This window comes from Homo sapiens, chromosome 8 (genome assembly GCF_000001405.40).
Source record: "Homo sapiens chromosome 8, GRCh38.p14 Primary Assembly".
Classification (NCBI taxonomy): domain Eukaryota; kingdom Metazoa; phylum Chordata; class Mammalia; order Primates; family Hominidae; genus Homo; species Homo sapiens.
Window position 1 is genome coordinate 25,847,221 of NC_000008.11, and position 23,940 is coordinate 25,871,160.

At 39.4% G+C, this 23,940-nt stretch overlaps 1 protein-coding gene and 1 long non-coding RNA gene across 2 annotated transcripts in view; one reads left to right on the forward strand and one right to left on the reverse strand.

Annotated features, from left to right (window-relative positions):
- Positions 1-23,940, reverse strand: part of EBF2 (EBF transcription factor 2) — a 203,689-nt gene that overhangs the window by 5,496 nt on the left and 174,253 nt on the right. The window contains exons 11-15 of the mRNA NM_022659.4: positions 15,489-15,577; positions 14,089-14,154; positions 13,829-14,006; positions 11,099-11,284; positions 3,374-3,541 (exon numbers count right to left, since the gene is read on the reverse strand). Of these exons, the coding sequence (NP_073150.2) occupies positions 3,374-3,541; positions 11,099-11,284; positions 13,829-14,006; positions 14,089-14,154; positions 15,489-15,577 (687 nt within the window). The remainder of the gene's footprint in view (positions 1-3,373; positions 3,542-11,098; positions 11,285-13,828; positions 14,007-14,088; positions 14,155-15,488; positions 15,578-23,940) is intronic.
- LOC102723395 (uncharacterized) lies at positions 1,613-22,839 on the forward strand. Its single transcript, XR_001745848.2, has 3 exons — positions 1,613-1,714; positions 2,597-2,707; positions 22,759-22,839. It is a non-coding gene; the product is annotated as an uncharacterized LOC102723395 (long non-coding RNA).

Sequence of the window (23,940 nt, forward strand, 5' to 3'; positions counted from 1 at the left end):
CCTTTGCAGACAATGAAGTCTAGAGAAGGGCCCCTCCCCAGCCTGCGATCACCCAGGCACTCAGCCCACATTGTCACCCTCCCACTGTGTATCTCTAAAAAGATGGAGCTCCCTGTCCAGCTGGTGTCTGAGATCCCAGGATTTTTTGTTTGTTTGTTTTGTTCAGTGACTGTGCATTAAATGTCAGCTTGGTTTCCTCTCTCTCTGTACTCAAGGGAACTTCACAATGTTGGACACTGAGCTTCCATGCACCTGGTCTAAAACGAGGAAGAGCATAAGGTAAGGTCACTGAGGGCATCCTTTGTCAACCCTCGCCTCCTCCCAGCCAGGCTGTAGGAAATATCTGTTACCTTGCCTAGTTCTTCACACAAATTAGTCAACAACCACCTTTGGGGATAGCTGTCGATTTTCTATTTAACAGACTAGGAAACTGAGGCTCTGAGATAATGGCATGCACAGATTGACAAGGCCCGGAAAGAGCTGAACTAGAACTCAGCACAGGACTGGTGACATCATGGCCAGCACTCTTCCAGTGGCTAATACTCTTTAAGGATTTCTCCACACGTCACTTGATATTTTCATAGATTTTTTGCAATTTCTTTTTAGGCTACTGCCCTAAATCGACAGGTAGTTCTATTTTTTTCCTCCCCGACCTACTCCAAACATTTTATCTTTTAGAGAGACTACATATGGGGTACAGTGGATACTGCTAAGGTAACTCGTGCGCCGAAATCTCAAATCACCACTAGAGAACTTATCCATGTAATCAAAAACCACCTGTACCCCCAAAATTAATGAAATTTTCTTTTAAAAAAAAACCTATAAAAACTTTTATCTTTTAGAGATGAGGTCTTGCTATGTTGCACAGGCTAGGCTCAAGTGATCCTCCTGCCTCAGCCTCCCAAGTATCTGGGACTATAGGTGTGTGCCACCACGCCTGGCCCCTTCTTCTTTTAAAGGTTCAAATCACCAGAGGAATGTGGAGGGAACTGAAGGATTCAAATGAGGTTTGGGACCTTACAGTGACTCTAGAAATGAAGCTAGAGCCTAGAGCCTGTGCCTACATGCAACTCACCAAGTCATTGCTCCTATAAACCTATCAGGAATGTGCTGCTCAGCCCGAGCATCCTGAGGGGTGGTGACCAGAATTTTGTGTGGCTGGGGACCCTGGAGAGGGTCTTCTGTTTCTGCTGCAGCTGCCCTCACAGGGAACCTTACTAAGACCAAGCAAGGTTTCCTTCCAGCTCTTTGGGCTGGCTCAAACCTGACTTCAGTAACAGCACGGGAGTCTTGGGCATGCAGCAGGAAGTGGGGTGGGGATGACAGGCCCTGGGAGTCTGTAAGAAACTTGTCCTGGCCCCATTGTAGGCTCAGAGCCAGGTAAAATAGAGAAGATCTGAGACAACCAGCTCCACTTTCCCGTGAGAGAGGAGGTGGGGAAGGGGTGATCAGTGGAAGTCAAGTATCCTTTTTTCCTTTAAGTAACATATGTGCTAAGTGGCCAGGAATGAGGAAAGGGCTGCATCCATCCTGTCTGCCTCCCGTCCAATGCAGAGGAAAGCCTGCACCCCTCCTTGGTCTGTCTCAATCTGCATTTTGCCAGTAAGACTTGCTGGGCCTCCACTCGGGTTAAGGTCGATGAATAAAACCAGAGAACTTAAAAAGAGGAAACATCAACACTGAAGAGGTCATGGGGAAGAGGAAGGAAAGTACGGTAAATATTCAGCAATCGTTTTCATTTCCCTGTCTCATGGAAAAAGCTCTGGGCACATTCCCTAAGGATGGGATGGAAACCACTGGTCTTTGATGAAAGATGGGCAAGTGGAGACACTTAGCTACAGGCTCAGCCTATTTCTCTAGGAATTAGACATCTGGGTGAAAATCCCTGCCAAAAAATCCATGAAGTTTCCAGATGTTTCCAACTACCCATACATTGGGTGGTATATAGACCCCGCTGCTTTCTCTAGTGAGAAGTAAAATAATTTTCAACAATGTTTCTGAGTACTGGGTTTTCCATTCTGGTTTTGACAGTTTCTCTGTAGAGTCACTTGACTTCCAGAAGACACCATCATCTCCAGTGTTGGGATGGCTCAGGAACCTAACGTACCTCCCAGAGCTCTGCTCAGCCACAAGAGGAGACTGACCTCTCACACGTGTCCCAAAAGAATTAAGAACCCACACTCTATCATCAAACCACCAGGCAGATGCCATCCCCAGGACAATGCAGCCCATCCAAGGTTCCCCATCAAGCACTGCTGACCTTACAGCCTTTGATCCATGAGGGTTAATGAAACCTCTTCCCTTTTTAGTTTTACCCAACCCTGCTTGTTGTAAATATTTTCTTGTCAAGAACATGAGAGGAGCAGCCTAAAAATAATGTGGGTTGCCAGTGAGCCCCAGTCCTCAGCAGTTTCCAATGTGCTCTTTTGCTGTCTGCTGCCCTCCATCCACAATGAGATGATTTTTCATATACTCATCACATTTGTGTTATGTCATGCCATATTATATTTTAGAACATTGCTCAAAAATGGGTTTGATGGATAACTTTTGTTCTTAGAAACTATGACTTTTCTATTCTCCACAACCCCCTAATCAGGCACCTGCTATCAATTTGACTTGCATGTAACCAGAATTCTCAGAACTTGTTGGTTGCTCCTGCTGGCTCCTGTCCATGTATGCCAAGAGGACATGATGGCAAGCGGATTAGGTAAGCAGAAAGCACCATGTGGTATCCCCTGGGGTGACTGGGCATTTTCTGAGAGATAGCAGAATGGCCTTGTGGACAGCATAGGGCTGGGAAGTCCAGACACTCCTCAGTTGTATTAACCATGGTTAATTCCATTACCTGCAGAGTTTGCTGATGTCTGTTTTCCCTGATCTTACTTTTTAAAAAAATTTGATTATTTTTTGAGATGGAGTTTTGCTCTTGTTGCCCAGGCTGGAGTGCAATGGCGCGATCTCAGCTTACTGCAACCTCTGCCTCCTAGGTTCAAGCGATTCTTCTCCCTCAGCCTCTCGAGTAGCTAGGATTACAGGCACCCACAAACACACCCAGCTAATTTTTGTATTTTAAGTAGACACAGGGTTTTACCATGTTGGCCAGGCTGGTCTCAAACTCCTGACCTCCAAGTGATCCACCTGCCTTGGCCTCCCGAAGTGCTGGGATTACAGGCATGAGCCACCATGCCTGGCCCCATCTTGCTTTTAGATGGAGCACTTGCCTAGCTGTAGAAGCCATTCATGTCCCATGATAAGAACAGCAAAGCATCTCTTTGCAGGTAAATGGCTGGAGCTATACAATGATGTGCTGTTTGCTCTTACTTTGCCAACCCTATGGTACATTGTGTATCCCCAAAATAGAACCCTTGCTTACCTCTGAATCCATTTCCATTGCCGCTGGAGCAGGCAGGTGAAGGGGAGCCTTGGGGCCTGATGACAGGGGCAAAGGCACTCTTCTGTTTGACAGCAGGAAAAACTGAAGAGGAAAATGGGAGGATGGAGGATGTGCTGGAAGACCCAACGGTGGGACTTGATGACATGACTGGAAAGCAAATGCACAATCCTCATTTAGAAATTAAGATCTTCCTTCAGTTCACACATTTGGCACACATTTATTGAGAAATTGTTAATTTCCATGCATTGTTCCAGATTGCAGGGATTAAAAAAAAAAAGTTGAATGTGACAACATTCCCACCATGTCCAGTGGGAGGAACAGACACATAAAACAACTAATATGGTAATGACGCTATTAGAGGAAGGTACCCAATGCCCAAGAGATGCAGACAGCAAAGGGCACTTGTGCTTGGGAGAGTCAGGAAGGCAGCTTCAGGAAGTGATGTTAGCACAGGTCTTCATTCACAAGCAGAAGCTTGGCAAGAGAGAAGACTGAGATCAAACATGCCTGAAAAATCATCAAATCTACCCAGCAATGGAAATCGCTTTCACACCCTACAAAAAAAGTCCTATTTGGGAGCTATGTGCCTCCCCCATAACTCCTAAGGCTCCAGGGGTTTGGTCTGTAGGGTTAACATCTTCTCTGAGAGTGCCATCTCTATGGGCCACTTCCTCATTAAATGTAAAAGTGTATTAACATTCAGAAAACCGTCTTCCTCTCCCGTAATTTCAAGTGCTCTTGGGAAATATAGCTGCAAGTCGGCCTCCCCTGACATAATGTTTAGAAAAAACACCAATATTAGTGATATTAACATTAAAATGACTTAAGGGAAGACAAAAGCCAAGCATTATAATTTCCAAGAAAAAATAAAAGCAATTTACATAATGAAGTACCCCACCTCTTAATGTCAGATACTCCACCAAGTTATATCATGCAAGATGATAATTTTATCTTCTATGTTCAACTTAAGAAAGGAGTAAACTAGAGTACACAAGGGCAAAACTCTTAAATATAGCACCTTATAGTATAGTTTTAGGCACTTGTGTTAGCATAATTCCCAGAATTCTGAACTGTCCAAGTCACATGACTTGACAAAAGTGTTGTTGGAGCCTAATGACCAAGCCCAGCAGTGCTATTTCTTGCTTTGTATTTTCAATGGACCACCTGTCCTTCAAAGTAAATTCGAAAGTGAGGACAAGGGCGACACTTATGACTGACCAACCAAGTACAAGGTGAACTGAAGGTCAAATGTTCTGATGTCCATGGACAACTCCACCCTCATTTCCCCTCCTTCCCTATAAAAATATATTTTGGGCCACGTCCACCCAATTGCCTGTATAAAGCACTTATATAGCATACTTCCCATATGATGTCTTTTATAGCCAAACTAAAATCCAAAGACTTCAAAAGAAGAGCTTTCTCTAAAAACATCTTATCCTTAAAGTAGTCTTGATTTAAGGAGCTATGCATCTGAGTACATCTGTCTTTCCTCATATATGGATAAAAAGAAAAAAATTGGAAAGGAGAACAAAGTTCTGGAAGAATCTCATGTAATACTTGAATATGTAAATGAATAAAAACACTGTTGGGCTAATTCACATAATAAGGACACAGGGTTAAGCATGAGGAGTGGGTCTTATTCATGGTTCTGAGCAAAATCTCTTCTAGCCTTGGGTTTGGCATTAGTGAAATAGAAAAAATCCAAAAGCAAAAAATCCCCAACTTTTCATTTTCTCTACGGTACAGAATTAGAAGCCAAAGAAAAGCTGGGACTTAGGAGGCCCTGATTCTACCATGGTCCCCCAAATGGCGCCTTGGTTTCCCTGTCTACAACAGCAGAACCTCCTCTCAGACATCATCATTGAAGAGGTTTTTACAATGTGAATGAGGCATTCACACACACTCCATTCCATTTATATTCAGCAAATGACTCACTAGTACAGATAATTATTTTCTAATAACAGATTTCAACGGAAAGCAGGGCCCATTAGATCAAAAATGGTTCCCTTGCAGTGGGAGAGGAAACACCTCAAGCTTTACTAAGTGACGTGAAGGAATTGTTGCAGAGTTGAGCAAGTACATGCCCGTTTTAAATATTTCTTACAACAATTTTGTAAAAATGCCAAAATGCATTCAACTGAATTTAAAATTCGATGCAACTATAATAAAAATGCTGAAAGGAATTTTAATTTGTGCATTTCGGCAAACACAATTACTATGTTTATCTGTTTCATAAAACAACACCGTAAGAGACAGGAAGTTTTGTTTAAAAACTTTTTTTAAGTAGTAAGAAGGCACTTATCTTCATCAGTGAAATCAGCATTGTGCTAGCACAGAAATAGGCAGACAAATCTTTAGAGCAAAATAGAGTTCAGAAACAGACCTGGGTATAGATGGGAATTAATACTTAATAAAGGTGACATTTCATATTAGTAGGAAAATAAATGCATGGAAAAATACACTAACCATTTGAAGACTAAGTTTAGAGTACTTTCTCCTGCTAAACACCAAAATAAATCTAAGTAGATTAAAGACATTTTTAAAAGCAAAATTGTAAAAGTGCTAGTAGAGCTGTTAGGATGGTTAGAGGTTCACAAGATAGATTTGCCACATAATGAAAAACTTCTGCAACAAACACAAAAAGGCAAATGACAGATTAAGAAAAATATTTGTAATACTTATTTAGATATGTTCATATCCTCAATAGCTCATAAGTTAATTGGAAAAAGAAAAACGCCCCAAGAGAAAAATAAGCAAAGGACACAAAAAAAGAAAATCAGGAATAAAAATGACCAAGAGAGATCCATATAGAAACACTCAAACTGATTCATAATAAAATGCTAATTAAAACGGTAAAAAGATCTTATTTTCCACTCACTAAATAGAAAAACTTAACAGGGCGGGGAAACATATAATAATCTTTCTTTTCTAAGGGAAGAATTAACCTCTCTGGAGGGTCTTTGGCAATATATATAAAAGTATTTTAAAATGTGTACATCCCTTGACCCACTAATTCAATCTCTAGAAATTAATCCCAAGGAGGTAGTCACGACTGTGCCAAAAATAATAGGTTCAAGGGCATTTTTATAATAATGAAAAATTGGAAAATAACTTAAGTGTCCCACAGTAGGGTACATTATATTTAGCCTATACAATAGAAGGCTATGCCAATATTAAAACTAACGTTGTAGAATAATCACATGGAAATATACACCTCTTCAGATGAAAAAAAAACAGATTACATAACACATACTAAGCCCCCTTTAATTTTTAAAAATACAAATAGCAAAACTCTAGAAGGATGTGATATATGCCCAAAATTTTAGCAATGGTATCTCTGGCTGATGGGATTATGAATACCCTTAAATGTATTGCTTTCACTTGTCCGTATCTTCAAAGTTTTCTACAACAAACTTGTATTACTTTTAATACATGGTAGGAGAAACCAGTAAAGGCTATTACATTTTAAAAATGGAAAATCTCGATTTCTTTGGGAAGAAATAATACAATCCTTAGCAATAGACATAATAGTGTTTAAAAATAATTTTAACTTTCCTCTTTCATTTAAGGCTGTACTACTTATAAACAAAGTTGTCTATTACTCTAATACCAACCCCCACCTCCAAAAAAAAAAAAAAAGCAAGAGATGAATAAATCCTCACATTCCTGGGAAACACTTGGTGATTGTAGTCAACTTTTGAAAGCAAACACCACTCCTCATATCTCTGTTCCCCATTCTTATGACCTGGGTCTGCATCACTGAAGGATTTTATGCAGCCCAGCTTCATATCTGTGACTTTGGTAATTTTACTGCTTTCCTTCCACCCTCTCTTTCATTGATCTTATGGCAGAATCTCATTAGTTGTGCATCAGAGCAGACACTGCAATTTTCAAAATGTATCTATCCATGACTGAAAGGCTATCCTTTAAAAATTAACAATGGTTACCTCTGCACAGACACAGAGTGTGCCATTTTTCTTTCCTCCTTTTTACCTATACGTGCTTTTCAAGTTGTCTGTAATGAGAATACTACTATTTTAATAGGCTTTTTTTTTCTTTTCTGAAGAAGTAGAAATATATCAGAATTCAAAGAGGTTATTCTTATGGTGGGAGTACGCTTTCTTTTAAAAATTATTTTTATACATTCTACATTTTCTGTAATAATAATTTAATATTTTACAATAGAGAATGTCTTAGTATTTATTTTTGAAACTATAAAACAATTGAACCCCAGAGCATGGTCTAAGGCTCTGAACATGATGTAGGAATCTATGAGGACAAGTTGGCTTCCTGCCTGTATGGATTCTGTCCCAAACTCTGCGTAGGCTTGGTGGCTATTCTGCTTTGGAAGAAGTGGTCCCTATGGGTGTTACAGGCTTGTTAAATAGACAATCTTTTGGGACTGCAGAGAGAACCATTTTAGGAAAGTTGATTGCATGTACTTCCAATCAAGAATTTCTCTGGACATCTATCTCTCTATGGATAGAGGCCAAAGTAAAGAAAAGTACGTCTGGCCCAGAAATCTCTGTGAACATGGGGAGTTAAGGAAAAACCACTTTTCTTTGTAGGAGGATTGATTGGCTTGCATAGTCTCAGCTGGAACTCACCGGGCACATATCCTCCTTTGCATCAAGCCAGTGCATTTTTTGGAGCTAAGGGGTCTGTCAGCATTTCATTATAATCCCCTATTGTCAGGGGTTTAGAATTCAGCCATAAAAACTTGCACTGAGCTGGAACTTGGCACACTGCTACTGCCAGGAAGTGAAGTTTGTATGTAAAATTGAAAAAACATCTGTTTGGCCATTTTTGAAGTAGTGCGAGAGCAAAAACAGTAAAGATGCGGGTTTCTGATACTCTACGTTGGCTGTCATGCAAGTCAAACTTGACTAAGAAGCTTGGCTCTTTCTTACTTAGTGTCTCTGGCAAGTATTTGCTCCGTGGCATGGTCCAGCCACATCAGATGCATTTTAAAAAAAATCATAGAATTGTGTTTTCAGACACAAGCAACTGAATTGACAAAATGTTTTCCCCCGGGCTTTTCTTTTTTTGTATTTCCCAGAGAAGTAAAGACTTGGCTGGCTAGAAATACAGGTCAGGTGCTATTGTAATGAACTCCACTGGGTATTCAGTATTTTTGGAGTAAGTGAATTTGATTGTAATGAATGCACTGTTTGGAATTTCATTCCTAGGCTGCAACTCGTTCAGACCCTCCCTCCAAAAGTGAAGGTGCAAACCACCACACCAGATTCAATAGGTACAGGGAGGAGGTTTTCTCCCGTCTCTCTTTCTGTCTCCCAGTTGGGCAGGTTGCCTTCCTCTTTTTCCTATTCTGTGTCTACCATCTCATTTTAATGGGTAATTTGAAGATTTGGGGTGTTATTAGTTTTCTTGTGGCAGTGGGTTTGGGTGATCATGAAAGAACAGTAGAAGGAAGTCGTCACTGGTGGGAGTGGGAAGGATTTCTCTCTACCAAATGAATTATTTAGGAAGAAATATTAAGAAATTCACACCTAACTGTGCATTTTCATTCATCTTTTTTTCCTCTCCTTTCTTCTCCATCCTCTTCACTACCACACTACATACTGTATTATAAAATTGATCATTTTTATGTACAAAAACAACTATTATGATTCAACTTCATTCATACCTACATAGATTATGATTGAATGATATGAAATTGCCACTTTTGTAGATCAAAATGGTCAAATAGAGGGAATTTCCTATGGTTTAGCCTAATATTACACTATAAATACATTAAATATTCCTTAATAATTTAAAAACGTGGTATTCTGAGTGTGATGATGTGTTCTAGTCCCTTTTTTACTATTTATTGGCTATGAACTCTTAAGTCATTCAATAACTCTTCATCTCTTACAACGGATAATGATAAAAATGATTGTATCCATGTCACAAGGTTGTTGTGAGGCTCTGACTGGACTCTAGATGTCAACATGCTTTGTAAGCTGTAAAGTGGAATGTAATTGTTAATTCATCTTATTGTTGTCACTGTTATATCATTGTTTACACAATGGATCTCTTGCCACTGCATCATGTTTAGGGGTTGTTAAAGATGTGGTCTCTTTACCACACCAGACACCACCTCCAGGAGGAAGCATGGGAAAGACCTCTCCAACATCTCAGTAACAGAAATAGCCACCTTTCTTCTGAGCTACTTTAAAAAATAATGTGTGGACATAAAATCTTATAACAAATAGTGTTTCTCTCTTTGCTTTAGCCTCTTGTAAACTCAGAGCAAAGTAAATGACTCCCTTGAATAGACCAAATGATATTCATGCTGGCCCTGGCATTTTCTAATTTCCTGAACCATATTTGTTTCTTTTAGCTCAGTTTCTTGTTAGACTCTGTTTTATATTTTCATACTATCTATTTGACTGCAATAATTCCCCCAAACACTTTTTGGAACAAGAATTTCCAAAAATTTGGGGGAATTTGTTTCTACCTACTATGGGGTAGAAACAAATCAAGCAATCATTTATTTCTCTAGACTGTTATCTAATTAACTTAGGCCACCTGACAAGACACAACATAGAACTCTTGTCTTTGCAGTAAGAAGATTTTCATTGCACTAGAAGAACTGACCTCTACTACCCTTCGCTGCTTGGTGCTATATCTTTATCTCACCGTGTAGTGTAGAGTGTATGCATTGAACTGATAATCCAGAAATAGCTCATAGGTGTGTCTCCCCAGGGAACCAAAAGTCCAAAGACTGTGAAAGGCAGCTTCTGTGACATGTCAATTCTGAAGCTATGGTGGACGTGGCTGCATGCTGCCCTTGACATGTCCTTGCTCTTGGCACAAGGGAACCACACTGGGTAAAAAGAGGGCAAGGTGCAGAGAATTGCAACAAGACCCAGCATTTCGAGAACACTCTACTCAATCACTTCAGCCTCTCCATGTCAGCTTGTCCCCTGGCCTAAAATATTCCCTAGGTAGGTTTGAAAAATGCACTCTCTCAGGCTCCTGGGAGCATTGTGTAACTTCCCGGCATACCTCCCAAAGCAACCCAAATGGGGTTTTCACAACTTCCCAGAGCAGGGACTTTGCTGCTAGACCACAGATTAAGATGAAGAGGTTCTGTCTCAATATATCACATGATTGCACACAGTCAACTTCCACCTCTCTGGAGGTACTGAAAGGAGGGGAAAACCAGGTTGCAAAGTCAAAAAGCAGCATGGTGTGATACACAAAATAACTCAAAGTCATCAGGACTGTGCCTAAATTATTACCCTGCTCTATTCTAGCTATGTGATCTTGATTAAGTCAGAAAACTGCAGCAAAGCCAAACTTCCTTGTCTATAACATGAAGAAAAAGTTCTTATCGAAAAGTTCTTATGGAGATTAAATAAAATATTACATCTGAAAGTGCCTAAGAGCACACATATTGTTAACAGAAATGGAATCTTAATTCCTTGCTTCCACTTACACAGGCCACACATGCTCTTTCTCTATAAAAACGGAATTGTTTCAATCCTTTTCTTTCCCCAAAAGGCCTTGAGTAACCACGTGAGCCAAAGTCCAGCTAAGGGAAAAGAACGAAAGGCAGGAAGGATGCTTAATCAGGAAACTAGGCTGCTCCCCGACAACTTAGGAAGATTTACAAATGCAACTTTCTCCCAAAAGGCCCAATAGTAAAACCCAGAGACAAAAAAGCATGGAGAGCCAAGTGATGGAGAGGTCACTTACTTCCATAAGGAGAGCCGGTGGGTGAGCCATTTAGAAATCCTGGTGAACCTGGAACACCCAAGTTGGCCATGGGGACATTGCTGTAGCCATTCATACTGTTGCTGGAGGTACTGTAATTAGACTGTTGAGGCGTGGAGCTGGAAGAGTATCCCCGCGGAGAGATGCTGCTTGTGTTGCGGATGTACCCTTGGCAACAAAGAAAAAGCCCAGGTAAATCAACAGGCGTGCACAGTCAGGCCACATGTGGCTAGCACAGGTCCTCATTGGCCCCAGACTGCAGAATGTCACCAGCTGCCCCGGGCAGTTGTAGGAAGTGTGCAGTCCATCTTTAGCTTTTTTTTTTTTTTTTTTTTTTTTTTGAGATAGAGTCTTACTCTGTCGCTCAGGCTGGAGTACAGTGGCACGATCTTGGCTCACTGCAACCTCTGCTGCCCGGGTTCACGTGATTCTTCTGCCTCAGCCTCCTGAGTAGCTGGGATTACAGGCACCCTGCCATTGCGCCCGGCTAATTTTTGTACTTTTAGTGGAGACGGGAATTCACCATGTTGGCCAAGCTGCTCTTGAACTCCTGACCCCATGATCCACCAGCCTCAGCCTCTCAAAGTGCTGGGATTACAGGTGTGAGCCAGTGCGCCCAGCCCATCTTCAGCCTTTTATACCTTTCTCTCTCTTCCCCATCTATGTAAGGCCATGCCCTTGATACTCCATTCAAACCTGCACTCAGCACCTCCAGCTTACACCAAGGAGCGAATGGCTAATAGCAGTGTGGAGTTCCCTCTCCCAAATCATATTTCATATGACACTGGAGTCCAGTGAGATATGATTGGTGTCACTGAGAAAACATTCTGTGGTCAAGTTAGGCTGGGCAGATGTTATGCACTGTAGCCATTTCTTGATTCATATACAGAAGGCCTAGAGAATAAATAAACTGGTTTAACTTTGCTAGCCTAGTGTTTGCCAAATTTAACATGCCATAGCATCTTTTGGCGGGGCCTGGAGGGGAACGGTATCTTCACCTCTCTGGGGCCACTTGTATTCTATGGAACACAGTTTTAGAAACGTCAGTTCCAAGTTGTTGCCACACCCTAGGTGCAAGTGGGGATCAATTTCATTCAAAAAGTGTGGATGAGTTCCCCTAAAATGTGCTATTCTCTGACCTAGGACTTTGGGGCATCAGCAGTGAGCATGGGGGACCCAGTCTATGCCTGGGACGGGGGAAGGAGTGAGAAACCACAGCTCAGAAACATCGTATCATATGTCCTGGAATAAAACACTTTGGATTACTGTCTCTAAAACTATATAGGAAACAACCCAAATTTGTCACCAAATGAAAAAGAATTTGATATTTGTTCTATGGGCCTCATGTCTACAGAAACAAAAATAATAATATGTCCTGTCTAGTCTTTTTTTTTTTTTGAGACAAGATCTCACTCTGTTGCCCTGGCTGGAGTACAGTGGCACAGTCATGGCTCACTGCAGCTTCAACCTCCTGGACTCAATCTATCCTCCCACCTCAACCTCCCAAATAGCAGGGACTACAGATGAGCACTACCACACCTGGCTAATTTTTGTATTTTTTGTAGACACAGGGTTTCACCATGCTGCCCAGGCTGGTCTCAAACTCCTGAGCTCAAGCAATCTGCCCACCTCAGCCTCCTGAAGTGCTGGGATTACAAGCGTGAGCCACCACACCCGGCTCACCTACTCTTTTGTAAGAACTCTCCCTGGGCAAAAAAAAAATGAGGAATTCTCTTCCAACAAATAAAATTAGAAAAAACTATCCCATTGTTAAGGACCTCATTAGGAACATTTACTCCTTTTAAAAATGATTCGTGACAGATTTCGACTTAGCACTTCAATAATCAATCTCAATGCAAATGTCTTTACACGGTCTGCTTCACATGTAAAAGCACAGTTGTCTTTATATTTGTTTGTTGTTATATATATGAAATAATACAAAATAGAAGTTACCAAATAAAACCAAGCCATTCACTCTTGGCTACCAGGAAGAGAAATTTGGGTATCATAAATGATAATGGCAATAATCAGTTTCTTTCCAGTATTCAATCTGATAATCACAATAACAGAAGCATAAATTTCTTTTAAATTAATACCTGTAAACCTATTTTCTATAAGCCCAAACCCTTCTAAATTGATAATACCCAATCCTTTTTTTTTTTTTTTTGAGACAGGTTCTCGCTCTGTTGCCCAGGCTGGAGTGCACTGTCACACTGCACAGGCAGCCTCGGCTCATTTGCAGTGTGCCAGCGCACCCCACTGCTCACTGCAGCCTCGACTTCCCAGGCTCATGTGATCCTCCCACCTCAGCCTCCCAAGTAGTTGGGACTACATCTGCCCACCACACCTGGCTATTTTTTTATAGAGATGGGTTTTCACCATGTTGCCCAGGCTGGTCTCAAACTCCAGGGCTCAAGCAATCTACCTGCCTCAGCCTCCCAAAGTGCAGGGATTACAGGTGTGAGCCACCAAACCTGGTAGTAATACTCAATCTTCCCCTTAAATATTTCCAGACATTCTACCTGGTACCTAAGAAGCTCAAACTCTAATAAAGTACCATCTATAATCTTGAAATAACCCAATCTATGATTGTATTGCCTATCTGTGGACACACTCTGTTGGACCATTATGACCCAACCTCTGACTCTGTCCACTCCAGCAGAACTTTTTAAATTAGACATATTTGGATTTTGACTCTAAGAAAGGTGGTACCTTGATTATTTCCTTGTGTTGACTCTGAGATGCTGACCCCAAGCTGGCTGCCATAGGAGTTGATTCCCATCATGCCACTGTGCGCTGGGGAGCTAGAGAGGGCTGGAAGCTGGCTGGGATTCCTGGGGACGCTGTAGAGAGCTTCAGCAATGTCTGCGGCTCGCTTCAAAATGATGTCCTACAAAACAACAGGTTAATGTGAGCATTCTATCCAGCATAAAGTGCAAAACTCAATAAAGGATAGGATGTCAGTATCTCACCTGGTTATTGTGTGGTGTGCCATAAAGAGCTTCCACTAGATCTGCAGCTCTTTTCAACAGCATCTCCTGGAAAATAAGCGAGGATGGGATATTGTCAAAGGCAAAATCCAAGATGGCAAACAAAAGAAAATTATAGGCAAAAATGAGAAATCCACACATCCCTCCCAAAATGTAAGTAATTAGCCAAGAGGTCCTATATTTGGTTTGACAGGTAGAATACAATTGTACATGTACATCTCTCTGTAAATACGTATCTATCTGAAATTCACCTCTATAAAATGGCTCTATAAATGATTGTGTTACCAAAACAAAAAACAACCCAATTGAGAGTATAGTTTATTAAAATTATTAAGGTCATGGAAGTTCTATTAAATGCTACTTTCAGCCCATTCTGTTTTAAAAATCTGGTTCTCTAATTAACCAAATATTCTTAAAATGATTGATGGATTTGAGTTTAGCTGCTTGCCAAGGAGTTGTCCAGAGTACTGAAATTATCTTGGCAACGTCTGCTGCAAAATTTTATTCTAATAAAGATGAATTCTTTCAATAATATTTCCCCCTGTACACTTTAACCACAGAGAATTAGTAATCACGAATCCCTTTCCTCTCATTTTGCCTTTTCCACCTCCTGTTTTACACAGCCTTTTAAATTGCTATTAACCTACTTTCCAGATATCATCTAATTTAATGGTGGGGCTAGGGATTTTTCCAGGAGGAAAATAAAGGTGTGATGTAGAAGCAACTCTGGTGCATAAATTTTATTCACAGTATGCAAAAGAGAATATGGCATTTTATAATTTGTGTGTTTAAAGTGCAAATATAAATGTGAAAATTTAATAGTTTCTCATCAGCTGAATGACAACTAATAAATTGATGTACTTTTTAAAGAAAGCTAACAACATGGGCCAAATTCATAAAGTAATTTTCATAAGGAAGTTCACTTGAAAGTGATGTATTTCATAGAAATTTTATACAGAAGCATTTTTCTCCTCATTAGATACCTACGTACATAGTAGGCCCTCAATAATTAATACTAATTGTGGATTAATGAGTCCTTGCAATTATGGTTAAATAGAAACATTTAAATACAAAGGAGTGGAAGCTTATACTTTTAACCAATTATGCAGTTATTTATTTTCATAAAGTTGGCCATGTTTTTTAAACTGAATACTCCTGTCGTGTATCTGTTTAATCAGCTCAAATGTTCATATTTCCTCAGAGATTAATAAATAAGACCATAATATATTTCATAGCAGATATTTTATGTGCATCTCGTATCTAAAGCTTAGCCAAATTTCAAGGCCTAATTAATTTTAATGGGATGTAAATGCCTGCATTTGTCTAAGTTTCCTGAAATTCTACACAAATGGCTTCACATGTCAATTTCCAAAGCACATTACCTTAGCTAATCTCTCAGGATCTCCAGGATGCCTAGGGATGACCTTCTGCAGTCTCTGGAAGCCATAGTCTATGGTGGGTTCATTTAATGCTGAAAGAGAAAAGTCCTCTTTCTGAGTTGGTATCCTGGCTATAAAGCAAACCTTCTAATTAATTCTTCCACAGGTAATAAGAAGGTTCTGGATGCATAATGGATGTAATCAGTTAGGGTTTTTGCTATCGACATTGGTTAATTCACATATAAATTTGGAATTTATAGTACTTTTATAGTTTCCTATTAGAATAACATTTCAAAATTTCAGATTATAATTATCATTTCTGCTTTAAGTATACATAAACTTCTCTGCTATCAAATAAAAAATTAAGCAACCATATCTCAATTTCTTATGAAGATAATAAACTACTTTTATATTATTTTCCTTTCTCTTATCTCTTTCTTAAGTAGGACTGCACTGTCTATTCTTCTAAATATCTATGAAATATTCTTCTAAATATTTTTCTTAACCAGTCTCTTATGTATATTTATACATATATAAACCTTCTATGAGCTTATTCTCATAAAACCCACTTTATGCATAATACGCTTCCACAATTTTCAATTATATTTAATTACACCCACGTCTGGTAACTATCAGCCCCCCACCCCACGAATACTACAAATTTTATTTCACCACTATGTTCCCGTTAAGACAGGGCCTGGCACATAGAAGGCACTTAGTGTCAGTAATTATAAAACGAGTGAGTGAATGAGTGAATTAATGAATGGCATACTTTAGCATTTCCACTATTCTAAAGAGTTTTCTGCATGCTGCTTTTATTCTTTCTCCTTCTTCCCTTTCATTTATTCTTTAAAAGTTTCTTGTTTAAATGTCATGGTTTTAAAATTAATACATGATTAAAGAAAAAGATACAAAGAATGAAATAATCACCTGCACTGCTGTTATGCAGCAATAAACACAGTAATGTCTATTTCCTCTTTAATCTTATTTTTTATATATATGTTGCTATTATTCTATCATAACAATGCCTCTTGTAAAAAACTATTACAAACATTAAATATAGAAGTAAAAAATTACCATAAACCCACTTAAGACATGAGCTGGATTAACATTTTTTGCATATGTCTTTCCAGATTGAAACCTATACACATACTTAAAATTATTCAGAGACATACCGTTCACACTGTTACATAACCTACTTTTCATCCACTTAACAATATATCATAAACTTCCCCAAGATCATTAACTATTCTTTTATAACATTATTTTAAATTCCTGCATATTTTTCTATGACATGTTCTATAATTTATTTAAATGGCTTCCTAATATCAGGCAATTAATGTGATCCTAATTTCTCACTATTATAAATATCGAGCAATAATTATCCTTTGTGCATAACTTTAATTATTTCAATTGGAAAATTCTAAGAATTGGAATTACTGGACCAAAAATTATGATTTATATTTCAGGCCTTTCAGACATACGGTCAAATCACTCCTCAGGAGAATGTATGAGTTTATTCTCCCTCCAGCAATGCGTGTGCTCATTTTAACTTACATTTTTTTACTCACCAGTGAGGTTGAAGAATTTTTTCTTATATTTGCTGATGTTAATTTCTTCTTTTATAAACTGCGTGTTAATACTTTCTGCACTCTTCTTTCACTTGTAAAAATACTTTATATGTTGAGATTTTTAATACTGTGGTATCATGTTGCAATATCACATCCCAATTTGACCTTAAGTATTTTATGTATAGAAAAACCACCTCTATTCCAAGAACTGGTAGATACACACAAACACACACACACACACACACACACAAATGTATATGTACACACCTATGTATACATATATGAATGTTTATTATTTAACTTATCTGGATTTTACTTTGTAATGTAACATTAAGAATTTACCTTTGCCACAACTTAACTGTATTTCACAATTTATTGAATGGTTTCTATACATATATTCTGTTTTATTGATCTATTCTGGGTAAAAGTCACCCTATTGAGGTTGTAATACATATTTAATATTTGATAGGGTAAGTGTCCTTCCAGAAACACACAATCTTTTAAAACTACATTTTCTCAACTATTTTTTTTTTTTTTTTGAGACAGAGTCTCACTCTGTCACCCAGGCTGGAGTGCAGTGGTGCAATCTCAGCTCACAGCAACCTCCACTGCCCGGGTTCAAGCGATTCTCCTGCTTCAGCCTCTTGAGTAGCTGGGCTTACAGGCGCGCGCCACCATGCCTGGCTAAATTTTTTTTTGCATTTTTAGTAGAGGCAGGGTTTCACCATGTTGATCAGGTTGGTCCCGAACTCCTGACCTCGTGATCCGCCTGCCTCGGCCTCACAAAGTGCTGGGATTACAGGTGTGAGCCACCGCACCCGGCCTTCTCAATTATTCTTATCCATTTATTCTTTCCAGTTTAACCTTAGGGAAATTTCAAAAAAAATTTCAGTTGCATTAAACCTACAGCTAGAGAGAAAATGGATGGCTTTGCAATAGCAACACTCCACCTTCTTCTTTAGATCCCTCAGTAAACTGTGCTGCTCATCATATAGGTGCTAAATTTTTTGTTTACCATTTTAATTTTTTGGTATTTCACTTTTTGTTTTTACTGTGAATATGGCTATTCATTAATCATATTGTCCAAGAGTTTTATTAGAGTCTAGAAACACTTCTGTGTTTTACACATCTGTGCAGGAAGTCTATGGCATACAGATGAAGACAATCAGCTTTAGAGTTGAGTAGATCTAGGGTCTGAATTCCAGCTCCACAATGTATGTGAACGTGAGCTGTTTAAAATCCATTTTATAGGTTGGCTGTCAAAATCAAAACTATTTCTATAATGTCCTCAGCACGGTGCTTGGCATATAAAATATCTTTTTCTTTTTTCTTTTGAGACAGGGTTTCACCCTGTTGCCCAGGCTGGTCTCAAACTCCTAGGCTCAAGCAATCGTCCGCCTTGGCCTCCCAGAGTGCTGGGATTACAGACCTGAGCCACTGCACCTGGCCTATAAAAGATCTTAACCAGGCCAGGCGCAGTGACTCATGCCTGTAATCCCAGCACTTTGGGAGGCTGAGGCGGGCAGATCATGAGGTCAGGAGATCGAGACTATCCTGGCTAACACGGTGAAACCCCATCTCTACTGAAAATACAAAAAATTAGCCGGGCGTGGTGGCGGGTGCCTGTAGTCCCAGCTACTCGGGAGGCTGAGGCAGGAGAATGGCGTGAACCCAGGAGGTGGAGCTTGCAGTGAGCCAAGATCACGCCGCTGCACCCCAGCCTGGGTGACAGAGCAAGACTCCGTCTCAAAAAAAAAAAAATCTTAACTGAAAGTAACTGTTATTTTGTAGCCAAAACCCCTGACAGATATCATTATTTTTTTTCTATTACTTAGGCCTGTACATTCATATCATCTACTTACAGTGATCATTTTGTCTCCTTTTGATAGATGCATTAATCCCATTTAGTTCTCTTAATCCTATTCTTGTATTGGCTAAAACTTCCCAAACAATGCCCCAAAATGACAATAAAGTTGGATATTCTTGTTTTTCTCTGAATGGGAATGACATATTATACCACCAAATATGGTGTTGGCTATTTGAGATAGATATTATTTATCATGGTTCAATAAGGGTTCAATAAGGGTTATCAGGACTTCTTGGAGTTTTAGAAAATCACAGTCACATGAATTTTCTCTTTTGGCCAGATTTTTTATTTATATATATAATATATATATATATATAATATATAGGATATATAATATAAAAATATATAATATATATAATATATAGGACATATATAATATAAAAATATATAATATATATTATATGTAATTTTTATGTATTATATAATTTATATATATAATAATTTTTATATAATATAATATAATGTTTATATTATATTATATATATATATATATTTTTTTTTTTTTTGAGACAAAGTCTTGCTGTGTCACCCCGGCTGGAGTGCAATGGCATGATCTTGGCTCACTGCAACCTCTGCCTCCCAGGTTCAAGCGATTCTCCTGTCTCAGCCTCCCTAGTAGCTGGAATTACAGGCATGCACCACCATGCCTGGCTAATTTTTGTATTTTTAGTAGAGATGGGGTTTCACCATATTGGCCACGCTGGTCACGAACTCCTGACCTCAAGTGATCCACCCATCTCGGCCTCCCAAAGCGCTGGGATTACAGACATGAGCTACCGCGCCTGGCCTATATTTTATATTTTCTAATATTTCAAAATTAAACATTAATTCATGGAAGTAATGTATCATTTTCTTGGTATATATCTAAATTCAGATATAACCATTAATACCAGATTCAACCATTAATACCAGATTAACATTTCCTTAACACAACTGGCACAAGGATTAAATCAAGTTACTAAGAACAGTGCCTGGCACTTGGTGAGCACGCAGGTATCAGTTATTGTTATTGCTGTCAGGAATTTATGTGTCCATATTAATAACTAGGATTGTGTGCATGGCTCTGTCCAACTAATGATTTTTATTTCATATGAGCTTTGAAAACTATATTGAGAAGTTTTCTTTATTTTATCCTATGCTCTATAAATCTTACATAGCATGGACAGTAGCTCTTGCTAAACACTTGAAAGAACCCTAGTTAACATTGCTCACACTAAGGTCACCAATAGCATTTTAGCCAAGCCAACAGGAACTTTTCCATTCTTAACCCCGAGTTAACATTTGAGACCGCTCATATTCTCCACTTCTAGAAACCCTCCCACCCACTGGCTTCCTGAACTTACACTGCCCGGCTTCCTTCCTACCTCTTTGGCCATGTCAGACTACTTTGCGGACTGTTCTTTCTCTGCCTGTCTTGTAAATGATGCTCCTCAAGATGGTTGCCAGGCAGTCCTCAGCTTTGCTGTACGTTCCCCTGGGCAACTTCATCAATTCTCCATGATTTCCACATGCAGCTACATGCTAATCGTCATAAATCTTGATCTCTAGACTAGATACCTGGCCTGAGATTCAGCTTTAAATATCCAACTGTTGGCTAGAAAATTCCACTTAGATGGTCCATAGATTCCCCCTACCCAAGATACCCAAGCTCATGAGATTTTCTGTGAATTGTACCATCATCCAAATGATTGACTGCCAATCAGAAACCTTGAATTCATTGTTTCTCAATATCATTGTATTTTTTCTAGAAAAAATCATCCATTTCATCAAGATTGTTAATGTTTTAGCATAGAATCTATATTGTATTTGTTTAAAATTTCTAACCGATCTAGAGTTCCCCTCCCCCTCTGCCCACTGAAATGTACACAAATATATGTAGACATTTAAATTATTTAACCTATCTGGATTTTATTTCGTTGTGTAACATTAAGTACTTATCTTTGCCACAACTTACTGTATTTCACAATTTTGTTGTAATTTTCTGATTAGTCCTATTTATAATTTTGACTTCCTTTAGCTCCAGGAAGAGTATCTTAAAATTTCTAGGTAATTGAGTACTAAACTGTTAATTGCTTATTGTAGCCAACTGCCCTGGATTTTAAAAGGTGTCCTGCACAGTATGTGCCTTTTGGAATTTATTGCATTTTTGTGAATTAATACATATTAGTTTTGTCTGCATTTTATGGGCAATGCTTTAATGTCTTATTTCATCTATCTTTTTGATCACTTTAACACATCCATTTTTGCTTCTATAAATTTGTCTTCCCACATTCTCATTTCTAATAGTTTTAAATATATATACTTTTCTAGTGATTTGAGAGATATACACACTTTTTGTTGTTGTTGTTGAGACAGGGACACAAAGTCTGGTTCTGCCACCCAGGCTGGAGTGCAGTGCACGATCACAGCTCACTGCAACCTCCACCTCCTGGGCTCAAGCAATCCTCCTGCCTCAGCCTCCTGACTAACTTGGGCTACAGACATGCACCACATGCCTAATTTTTGTATTTTTGGTAGAGATGGGTTTTCACCATCTTGCCCAGGCTGATCTTGAACTCCTGAGCTCAAGCAATCCGCCCGCCTTAGCCTCCCAAATTGCTGGGACTATAGGCATGAGTCACAGCTCCTGGTCTGTACATACTATTTTAATTTACAGAAGTGTCTTTAGACTTCTCTGAAAATATTTTATTTTTCCTAATTATTTGAGGTGTTGAGTCGCTCCATATATAAGGAATTTTGCTTGCCTTCTATCTTCCCACCTCTTTCTCTCCACTTATACATTTTTGTTGGCAGTTTATCATTTCAAGCTGATTTACTATTCTTAGATTTTCTATGTTCTATATTTTTAGAAACTAATTTTCATGTTTCCACTAAGTCTCATCACCATATTAACAAGAATTTTTTAGACACTCTATATTTAACTGCTTTCTCGGCCAACCACCAATCCTGCAATAGCACAACTTTTCCCATCTTGCATTCTTCATTGATTCAATTCTCCTGCAGTCAGGTGCTATCAATAAGAATAAGAGTTAAATTCTGTCTGGGCCACTGAAATAAGAGAGTATCTTTTTGTCTTTCTCACACATAAATGACAACTGCTCTGGATATAGAATAGTTAAGTACACTCTCCCATTCAAGATCAACTTTCTGCTTGTGCCACTGGTTCTCACTCCTCAAGTTGGAGACAGGGGAGCCTCAGGGTGGTTGTTGGTGTCTCCCCCATCACTTCCTTGCCCTGCTGCTCTTTCCTAAGGGGGAATGAGGAGGCCAGCTGGAATTCGCATGTCCACCAGTACGACCCTGTGTGCACATGCCAGCACAATGATGCAAAATTTCTGGGATACTAATGACTTTAGCCTAGCTTCAAGCATTATTACCAGATTTCCTTTATTTTTATGTTTTCCTGAAAGTATCCTCTAATATATTTTGGGGGTGGGGGCCGATTAAACACTTGCACTCACAAGGCCATCTTACCTAGAAACACATGTAAGAATAGCCGTATGTTTAAGTAGAATTATTCTGTAAACTTTTTTCTTCCACTTAGCTTTATAATGTCAGCAATTTGGGAAGACTTTTTCTTAAATAATGTGATTTTTAGTGGTGGTAATATGCAATAGTGAAAATCATTATTACCACCATTAGGACGTACTGAAGCCTTACTATGTTAAGGGCACTCTGCTAAGCCTTTTAGGCACATTAGCTCGTTCGATTCTGATTGTAACCCTACAATGTGGGTTTTATCCCCATTTTCAATGCAGTCCCAAGTGGTAAAGGTGGGATCTGTGTCCTGCTTCTCTAACTCCAAAGCCTGTGCTCTTAACCTTTCCTGCTGCAGAACCAGAGATGATGATCCTTCCATCCCCCTCTGGGCATCCTCCTCAGCTTCAAGAGCTACAGATGCAAGAGCATGATGGGCATCCTCCTCAGCTTCAAGAGCTACAGATGCAAAAGCATGAATGAAGTCCTGCCTGTGTTGCCTGACTTTGTCACTGAGACCAGAAGGAGACCCCATGCGGAATCAACTAGCAAACACAAACAGCTGCCTGGTGCTGCAGGGCAAACAGACTTGATGATGAAATTCTCAAAATTCATCATTGCCTAATTTTTTTTTTTTTTAGAAATATGCACCATTTTGTTAGCCAAAGTGCAGATTTTCGTAGAGAAAACAGGAAAATTATTGATATGGGTACACTCACAACGTGCTAAATACAAACTAAACAGATAACCCATAAGGCAGAAAATATAACCCCTCCCCGACTCCATTTCTGCCTTTGTCCCTTTCCATCTGCATGGCTGTCCCCCACCCTGGCAAGTGCTCTGCCTCTCCCAAGAGCATTTTTGGGGGTCCAGCCAGGTAGCACCACCTTCCTTATCCCTTAGTCCTTCCTGCTGCTCAGAGAGGAATTTTCTGGAGCTGGGCTCTAATCAGTGCACAGAGGTGGGATGGAGATGAGTTTTTTTAAAATATAATTTATCACGCATTTGCACCCATTGTTCTCCCAACCAGATTGCAAACCACTAGGATACAGGGTCATGTCTAGTTTCTCTTGCCTGCCCTCCCCTCCCCAGCTCCCAAATTAGACATGGCAGAGTATCTTTACTACACTGGGCTGGCAATTCATGTTTTACACTGAATAAGTAGATAAGGCAGAATTGTCTATTTTTATGTTGTTTTTTGGCAGGTCCCTGCCAGACTTCATAGGCATAAACTATGGGATACATCTCGTGTGCATCCAAGTGAGAGAGAGGACAGTAAAACACAGTTACCTACACAGACAGGGAAAATCACACTCACACATACACACCGACAGAATTTCATTTAATCAAGTGCACATTGGAAGTAGAAAGCATGAAGCTGAAAGTACTCCAGCTCTGTTTAGCCAACACTAAACCATAAGAGGGACCTCAGCCTTTAACACATGGCCGGGTTTGACAACTCTTTGGTTCCAGACTGACTTCCCAACTGACCAGTTGCTTTTGCGTCTCTTAGATTCAGCTTCACCTTGAATCCCAACTT